This window comes from Homo sapiens, chromosome 14 (genome assembly GCF_000001405.40).
Source record: "Homo sapiens chromosome 14, GRCh38.p14 Primary Assembly".
NCBI classification, from domain to species: Eukaryota; Metazoa; Chordata; class Mammalia; order Primates; family Hominidae; genus Homo; species Homo sapiens.
In genome coordinates this window covers 84,289,818-84,299,313 of record NC_000014.9, presented here as the reverse complement: position 1 = coordinate 84,299,313, position 9,496 = coordinate 84,289,818, and the positions used below count along the sequence as shown (strand labels likewise).

At 34.7% G+C, this 9,496-nt stretch overlaps 1 long non-coding RNA gene across 2 annotated transcripts in view; it reads left to right on the top strand.

The window, feature by feature from the left end:
* Positions 1–297: 297 nt before the first annotated feature.
* The window catches only part of LOC105370603 (uncharacterized), an 82,165-nt gene continuing 72,966 nt past the window's right edge, over positions 298–9,496 (top strand). The window contains exon 1 of one of the 2 annotated variants that reach the window (XR_944097.2): positions 298–393. This is a non-coding gene — a long non-coding RNA (uncharacterized LOC105370603). Of the gene's footprint in view, positions 394–7,421; positions 7,597–9,496 lie in introns of those variants that run through there. The other variant, XR_944098.3, reaches the window with a different exon arrangement.

Sequence of the window (9,496 nt, the reverse complement as noted above, 5' to 3'; positions counted from 1 at the left end):
TATATTTTTGTTTTGCTTTGTTTTGTTTATACCTTTAATAAAGCATTGTGTTTTGGCGTTTTAAAAAGGGAGTAAAATAAATTATTTGAATGTGTTTTATTTTAATATTTAGACAGCAACCCCCACCCACTCACTTACCAACATGTGCACTCTGGAGAAACTGAAATTCCATAATAGGAGGCTCACAAGGATACTCCAGGGGCTCATTTGCCAAGGGTGTCTATTTCATTTCATTTCACTTCATTTCTTTTCTTTCTTCCAATATATCTTCTGCCAAACTCTGAGACAGGCTTTGGTGATACATCAATGATCAGAGAAAAAATCCTGCTCTCAAGTTGCTCACTGTCTAGATGGGGAGGCAGACAGATAAACAGAGTGCTACAAAATGATGTGGTAAGTGTTCTCTACCAGGGGTGCATGCAGGGGCTATGGAACAGAGAGCAAAGAAGTCCTAACATGTTCTGAGACCTTCAGGGGATAGAGATTGTAGAGGAGGACATAAGTCATTTGAGTCTTGAGGAACTATTAGACGTTTGCCAGACATACAAAGGAATAAAAAGGAGAAACATCAGGAATGTTGAAAGCTTAGCATAGGTGGTGGCTGCAAATTATTTTAAAAGCATGGTGAGAATGCAGATAGACTGGAGGTGGAGGCTGTCATTGCACTTGACTGTGAGATCCTTGGGTCAGGTTACTGATAGTTCCCAGCATCTAATAAGCATGCGGATATAGTTAGCATGCATTGAGTAATTGACTGATTGAATTAATGACTGAAAGCACCTTTCTAATCTGAGATAAAATTAAAGCCAAGCCATGAATATTCACCTATTTTTTTTTTTTAATTTCCTTTAAGCCACCAGAGAAAGTGAAGCCATGGCAGTTTTAAAACTGGGCATAAAGCAAATTCTAGTGCTTAAGTATTGGGGAGGAGGTGCTCCTGACATCCGCTGTCACACATTTCAGGAAAGGAGGGACCTCCCTCCTACCTTTTCCTCTGGCAAGGCTACAGCTGTCACTCAAGAAGTGAATAGGTGACTTACTTTAAATGTCATGAACACTATGTCCTTTATTGTCAAAAGGATATTAGGAACCAAAAGATAAAAAGGAACCAAAAGAAAGGCATTTATACATGACTGTTGTAGGATAAGACAGACAGAGAATATATGCTGTAGCAAGTCGGTTATGAGATGGCCATTCAGTGCCGATCATAGGTAGTAGATTCTTTTAAGTATAAATACTCTCATTTAAAAGATATACACAGAGTCTAAAGTGTAACAATAAACTGCTGAATTAAATCTTAGTGGAAAAACATCATGCAACAGACTTCTATAAATATATAACATCCACAAGTTATAGCTATGCTGAATATAATTTTATTTCCTGAAGGTATAATATTATTCATGTCAAATTTACAGCAAATTTTTTTTTGCCATGGTTTAAATTAAGGGATAATAAAAAATCCAGTGTAAAATACCTGACATCAGGGGCACATGTGTATTTGATTAATTGATATTTATAATCTCATATATGTTATATATAATATATATCTAAAATTATACATAATACACTTATATATTGTATATGATATATACAATACCATTTCTAGTATATATCATATATTTTATATACAGTATATATTAGTTATGTACAATATATATAATGTATATGTGTATGTGACCTAGACTTTGAAGAAATGGTTTCTCCTGATAGAGATGGTTGAAGTTAATACTAAGAAATATATCTTGAGCATATTTCTGAAATACCATGTCAAACCAATATACTTCAAGAGAATCTTTATAAAATAAGATAGAAATAATAATGTAGAGAGTCATTATAACTAATAGTACTTTTACATTTTAATTTTGCTAATCAGAGACTATAAGTTAATTTACATAGATATACTTCCCCTTCTCAAGTTATTATTTGCATTAATGAACTCAAACAAAGCTTAAGTAACCTACTTTATCAATGGGGATTACAATATTTTGGCCCAGGATTTTGTGAACCTGGTCTCATAAAATAAAAACCATCTTAAACCAACATTTCCTCATTTCAATTATTAGTTTTCATTGTGCAAATTCAGCTGTCTGGACCACTATCAAATTTTAAGAATTAATCTAAATCATTGACATTTTTACTGATTTAAAATATAGTCCAGGAGACAGATAAAACTGAGAATGGGAGGTTTTGTTGTTGTTGTTGTTGTTTATTTGACAACTTTGAAGCTCAGAGAATCCCACAGATACTGAAATCTCAAACTCATTTAAACTTAAAATAGGAAATAAATCTTTAGCCAAGTTCAGTGCTAATACTTGGCAGTTTTAGGTTAGTGTTCACATATTTGTTAAATTTCATCAAAGGTAACTGAACTTTCTTTTTCACAATTTATTTCCAATCCAGGAATAAGTGTTTTAAAATAATATCTGTCTTGGTTTACCAGATGTTACCTTTTTGACCCTATTAGAAATGTGTGCCAATACCTTATTTCTCATGTGTAAAGATGAACACATCGAATTTGCCCAAATGTTTGAAGAGATGAGAAAAGAAACTCCAAGAAATCATGTGTATTTCAATTGCTAAGGAATGTAAAAATTTAATCTATTTAAAGTTTATATTTGAGACTATTTATTTTAAGAACATTAAGTGCATTAACTATAAAACCAGATGGAGAAAAGGAATCAACAATATACCTCCAGTCTAACTAACTTGTGTTCAGATTTGAGGAAGCATAAAATAATGCTACTTTTTGGTGGCATAAGCCATTCCCATAAAACTCAAGGGGCAGGACAGCTCTGGTAACCCACTGCTTCATCTGTGGTGAAACTAGCTCAGCCTGAGAACTAGATGCCTGTCTTGAAAGACTCACAAATCACCACGAGATCGCTGCTCTTGACCATTTTGCTGGGATAAGAACTTAATTTCTCATTTCAAATAACTCTTCCAATTTGATAAACATTGAGGAAGCTGAACATCTCTTCATTTAAAAGCAAAGAAAATACAGCTAGCAAAAGCTATTTTATTTGAAATTTTACATGAAAAATTTCAAGTGGAGATTATTTTAGTCTCCCTTTTCTTCCCAAATTGCAGTGGATTGCTCAGAAGAGCAGTGTTCCAGGTTACCAGGTTTCTGCCATTGTCCACAGCCCAATAAAACCTGACAAGCAAAAATTCACACCAAAATTATCATGTGTCATGTTCTTAGTATCAAAGAGAGGAAGAAAGAGGATGAACTAAGCTAAAAGACTCTATCCCTCTTAAGTTATTATACGCCATTTTCAAAAAAAACTTTCACATCGTTTGAGACAACCTAATTAAGGCTGATCAAGAGGGCTTGAAATTTTTGAATGATGGAAAGATTTCTCTGAAAAGGTTAAGAGAAATCTGGTACGATAGGATTTCACATCTTTGGAATCACTTTTAGAAAAGCTATAAATTCTTGTTAGATCATGTATGCAGGTGGAGCAAGTCCTTTCTTTAATCATACCAGTGCCACTTTCTGCTCACCTACTAAAAAGATCATTTCTGGGTTTTCTTGTTCAGGCTTTGGCAAAATGCCAGCCGAAAAAAAAAAGAACGAAAAAGAGAACGTTGATTTTAATACTCTCTTTTTTGTTGTTTAAAAGAAGCAGCAGCTTGCTCAGGTGTTGTATTTATTATCTACCTTTGCTCAATGGAATTTAAATATCCTCTCTTCAGGGTAAAATAACTTCGCTTCAGCCCAGAACACTTTCAAGTATGTATGTAAGTATGGTTAGAAAATAAATAAATAAATGAAATGAAATGAAATGAAATGTATAAAGCAGTCTTAATCATTCACACACAAAATAATTTCTGATTTCTTAGTTTCATTCCATTGTAAGTACATGAGATCTTTTTGGTCCTCATTGCTTCCCTCGGGAGAATGTCTCACAGCTGGTACAGGTTCTCTTAGATTATAATTTTTGATACTTAGTCTATATGTTCTTTGTCATGTTTCTTTGCAGTGCAGTGTTAAGCTCTCTTAACAAATCTATCCATTGTTTGTCTGTCTTTATGATGTAATTTGCTATCTTGCCCAATTGCAGTAGTTATACTTGTTTTATTAATGATAGTTTCCCTTTAGGATTATTATTTTTATCCCTAAAATATGTACTCTGTAATTATATTAATCTGAACTCATAAATCAAGTCTGTCAGGTCTTTCATGTTTTATTGCTCACTTCCAAATTCCACTTAAATTTCTCAATGGGCTGCTAGTATCTGAATGACCCTAAAAAAGGACCAAAGCAATCAGAGTATTTTGATTTCATAAACAGTGCAACATTCAGTTACCTAGTAGAAATAAAAAGAAATGAATTGAGTTATGCCATGAGGCAGTATAAATGCTTCTCATAAAGAGCACTCTAACTTTCCAGAAAGTTAATTTTTCTAATGTCCCAAGTAATAAAAAATGTCATTTACCACCCATGATCTTTCCTATAATACTTACTCACTTTGTTTAGAACTAAAATAAATTGGCATAAATAGGTCAACACTTTGGCTACTATTTAACATTGTTAATAATCATTCCTTCTGAATTTTTAATCTATAATCATTTGCTCCTTTGAAAGCCATTGAGGCAATATTGTCCTTGATATATTAAATACCCACATTTACAAAAAATGCCATATTTTTGTTCATTGTGTCATGAGTTGAGCATTAGGAACTTGCCAGACCTATTGCATTATTATAGTATTTCAAATTAAGAGTCACTCTGTTAAGGATAAATCTAAGGGAAACATTTTCAAGAAAATATAGAATCTGTGCAGGTAGTACTTCTGTTTGAGAAATTGTCTGGGCTCTCAGAGAATAATATAGGCTTTTCAGAGGAGAATTACCATTTCCTAAGAAGGAAAGCTGCTGTATTTGTTTTGAAAATAAATTCCAGACTAATTTCACTCATTGATCAATATATCTTTATTAACCCATTGAATATTTTATTTACTACTATTTGTCATATGGTATACTAAGGGTGACTTGCCACATTTCTTTAGCTATATTTGTAAGTTTATTTGTGTTTACGTATTTTTTATTTACCACTATTTATAAAATGTTATAATGTTTTACTTCTCATTTGGAGCCTGTGTATCAATGCTTCTTGATACATTCTGTAGCTTTCCATTGTTGTCTTCATACCATTATATAAACTATGAATGAAGTAGAATAAGTGAGTAGAGATCCAAAGAGATTTATTTAAAGAAGCACTCTTATTTAGATATGGGTAGTGGTATTACCCAAGGTATCTGTTACTTTATAGTCCCACTAAATACTTCACATGGTTTATTCATTCCCTCTCTTTACTCAGCAGGCTTGGTTCTGATGAGTAACGTGATTTGCCTCTATCAGTGCCGTTCAAAATAATGTGTCATAAGGTTAGAAATATCAGAGCCCCAAGAGCAGGTTAAGAAAGGCTTTGAATTGTGCATCACCTGAATTACACACATGGCCCCAGGAGATAACTACTTTACAGTGTTAATGGTCAATTTCAAAATAACATCATGTATCTTTTCTTTATAATCATAAATGAAACATTTCAACTTATTTGAAGGAAAAAAGTCTTAATACTTCAACTTCATGTACTTCTATATAGTCTACTTCATGGGCATACAATTTTGTTCTATTTGTACACTTTTAGAAAATATAGTGGTTATCTTTGTGTGGTGAATGACAAGCATTTTCACTTATTGATTAATTCATATATTCAAATATGTTATTGATTACTCAGACATTTATTGAGCACTACCATGTTTCAGGCATTATTTTAAGCACTGAGACATATCACTGAGTAAACACGAAAAATATCTGTTCTTATGTAAGTCAGTTTTGGTGTGACATGATAGAAAATTGACAATAAACTTAATCAGTAAGTATATGGCTTAGTAAAATAGAAGGTGATGAATATTTTAGAAATTAATAGAGCCAGGTAAGGGAAATTAGCAGTGCTTGAGATCATGACAATTTAAATGGGGTTATTGGGATAGAAGATGTCATCAAGAAGGTGACATTTGAATAAAGACCTGAAGGAGGTGAGAAAATTCATGATGCTGGTATCAGAAAGATAAGTATTCCAAAAAAGGGAGGAGTAAGGAGTGCTGGAGAAAGGAAAAGGTGAATGTCATTGGGATAGAGAAGAGGAGACAGTTGCTGAAGGGCCTTTAGGCCACTGTAAGTATCCTGACTCTTACTCCAAGAGTGAGGTTTCTCAAACTAGAGAAATTTTATTCTTTGACACTATTAATATTTTAGGCCTGATAATTCTTCATTTTGTGAGGCTGTCCTGTGCACTGTAGGATGTTTAAAAACATCCCAGAGTGGGTATCTAGCAGATGCCCATAGCAGCTGCGGTCACAACCATCAAAAATGTCTCTGGAAATTACCAATATCCTCAAGAGAACAACATTACTCACAACTACACGCCTCTACTCTAAATAAAATGCAGAAATACACGATGTAGATGGTGCTCCCCACTCCCATTCATGTCCACCTGGAACCTGTGATTTGGAAAAAGAGTCTTTGCATTTAAATCAAGTTAAGATGAGGTCATACTAGATTAGGATAAGCACTAAATACAGTAACTGGTGACTTTTTAGGAGAAAGTGGAAAGACTTTTGTACATAAAGACCCAGAGGAGATACAGGAAAGAAGCCAGAATGAAGACACAGGCAGAGACTGGAGTGATGCAGTTACAATCCAAGGAATGTCAAAGTTTGCCAGCTGGCTGGGCACGGCAGCTCAGGCTTGTAATCCCAGCACTTTGGGAGGCCGAGGTGGGTGGATCATGAGGTCAGGAGTTCAAGACGACCAGCCTGGCCAAGATGGTGAAACCCCATCTCTACTAAAGGTACAAAAATTAGGCGGGCGCGGTGGCAGGTGCCTGTAATCCCACTCGGGTGGCTGAGGCAGGAGAATGTCTTGAACTCGGGAGGCAGAGGTTGCAGTGAGCCGAGATCATGCCACTGCACTGTAGCCTGGGCAATAGAGTGAGACTCCATCTCAAAAAAAAAAAAAGAAAAGAAAAAGATTGCCAGCAACCACCAGAGGCTAGGAGAGAGAGGCAGGGAAGGATTATTTATTGGAGTCTTCAGAGGGAGCACACCCCTGCTGTCAACCCGATTTTGGACTTTAGCTTCCAGAACTCTGAGAGAATTAATATCTGTTGTTTTAGGCCACCCAGTTAGTGGTAATTTGTTAAGGCGGCCCTACAAAACTAATATAAGGGCTGTCATTGGATGATTTTGAACAGAGGGACATCATCTGACCTCAGTTTTAACTTAATTACTCTGAATACAGTATAGATAATAGACAGTTTGGGGAGACGGAGATATACCAGCAAGACACCAATTAGAAGACCAATGCAATAATCAAGAAGAGAGGTGATGTTAGCTTGGACTAGAGTGGTGACAATGGAGATGGTGAGAAAGAGTTGGATCCTCCATACGTTTTGAAAATATATTAATACTTATGGATGGAGTAGATGTGAACATGGATTTATATAAAGAAAAGAGAGCAGTTAAGAAAAATTCCAACTTTACCCTCAGTAACCAGAAAGATGGAAAAGCATTGGGTGGAGCATTTGGAGGTAAGTCCAGCAATTTGGTTTGGAAAATGTTAAGTTTGAGATATTTATGAGATATCCACATGGAGCTGTTTGGTAGGCCCTTTGATATATGAATCAGGAGTTCAGGAAGAGATTCATGGTGGAGATAAATTTGGGAATCATTGACATTTAAAAAGGTATTTAAGGTAATAAGATTGGTACCAGAAACTAAGAGAATATGTTTAAATGAATAAGGAAAGGTTTACTACAATGTTAAGAGGTCAGTAATAAAAAAGGAATTAGCAAATAATAATGAGAAAGAGTTGCCAGTGAGGAAACAGCAAAATTAAGAGATGGTTGACAAGTCTTTTGTTTATATTATACAAAAATTTTACTGTAAATGTATTTTAATGAGAAAAATTATAAAAATTTTCTTAAATTATATACTAGAAAGAAGTCAGCAGTTATTTTTTAACTTTATATGCAGCAAATCAAAATATATCTGATGATTACTGTGATTACTTGGTAAATATAAATGAAAGGGCACTGAGCTTATTTTGTTGGACTATGAATAAAAGACTTCCTCTCAATTCAATTAGTTTACATATGCGTCTAAAACCTTTCTCAGTTAGAAAGGATGTCTCTGCATGAGAATAGTATTAGACAATGACACCAGAAACTTCCTGTGACTGGATTTTTCTCATCTCTGTGTAAGTACAGACTTTGTCTATGAGACACCAAAAAAGTTCATCAAAAAAGACAAAAATAAAAAGAAGCACAATCAGTGAAGCATTTCAATGGATATTTTAGATATTTGTACCCTGCAGATACTAAATTAAGAAATCTGCATAGATTTTTCAGTTTATGTAGAAATTGCAGAATAATGCCACTCACCATTTGATCTCAAATTATGCTATGAGATCAGTTTGGTCCCAACAGGAAACAGATGGACTATGGAAAATAGGATAAAACAAAGTTTATTTACAAATGGGGCTAATTTATAAAGGTGTAGCAAACTCAGAAGGAATAGTGCATTAATCCAGAGCTTGTGGTAACAAAAGTGTTATTACTCCTATGCTTAAAAGAGTAAGGAAGAGGGAGTGGCTATCACAAAGAGAATTGTGTATCAACTCTTTTGAGTGGAATAGTCCCCTTTGGGAGACAAACAGGACTAGCTTGAGGTACCCTTGAAAGGCAAAAGCTGGGCGGGGAGTGGGGTGGTGGGGTGGGACTCAAAATTCTGACTTAACCTGCCTATTTCTTCTGTTCTTCTGCTCTTTGGAAGAACCCCTGCCAAATGATTAAAGGTATGAGAATGTTCATGGAATCCCTGCAAGTCAGCCTTCCAGGAAAGAGAGCATAGTGGAGGAGGAAAGTTCCTGAAAAAGTCACAAAATTGTGCTATCTGGCATGGCACACTATCCTTCCTTTGACTTGGTCCACTTTCCATTAGTCTTTTATACCTCTGCTGAAGAAATAATTCATGTTGGGTTAGGAGGCTTTCCTCTGCCATTGAAGGTCGGGCTGCCAGTAACCATGTAAACTCTTCTTTGAACTCTCAAAAATTGTCCTAATAATGTAATGCAATTTTAAAAATAAGCATCACAGAATAGCTAGATTTTTCCATCAGTCTGTGGCATATGACATTACTAGTGAGTGAAATAAAACCACGCATGTTAAATAGTGAAACAATCTGATTAATACTTACGCTAATTTATTTAAAGTAAAACAGTTATATTCTTTCTATTCAAGAGTCAAATGTATATTTTTTACAAATGCAACAAATGCAAGTACGATAGCAGAATTCTAGGAAGACACAAATAACTGTAAGGAAATTGCAGCTGTATATGTGACAGGTAGATGTCACATTTCTGAGAAACATCACTTATAATTGAAATTCGCTATTATACTTTGAGCCGAATATCCTAAGATCCAATATCTT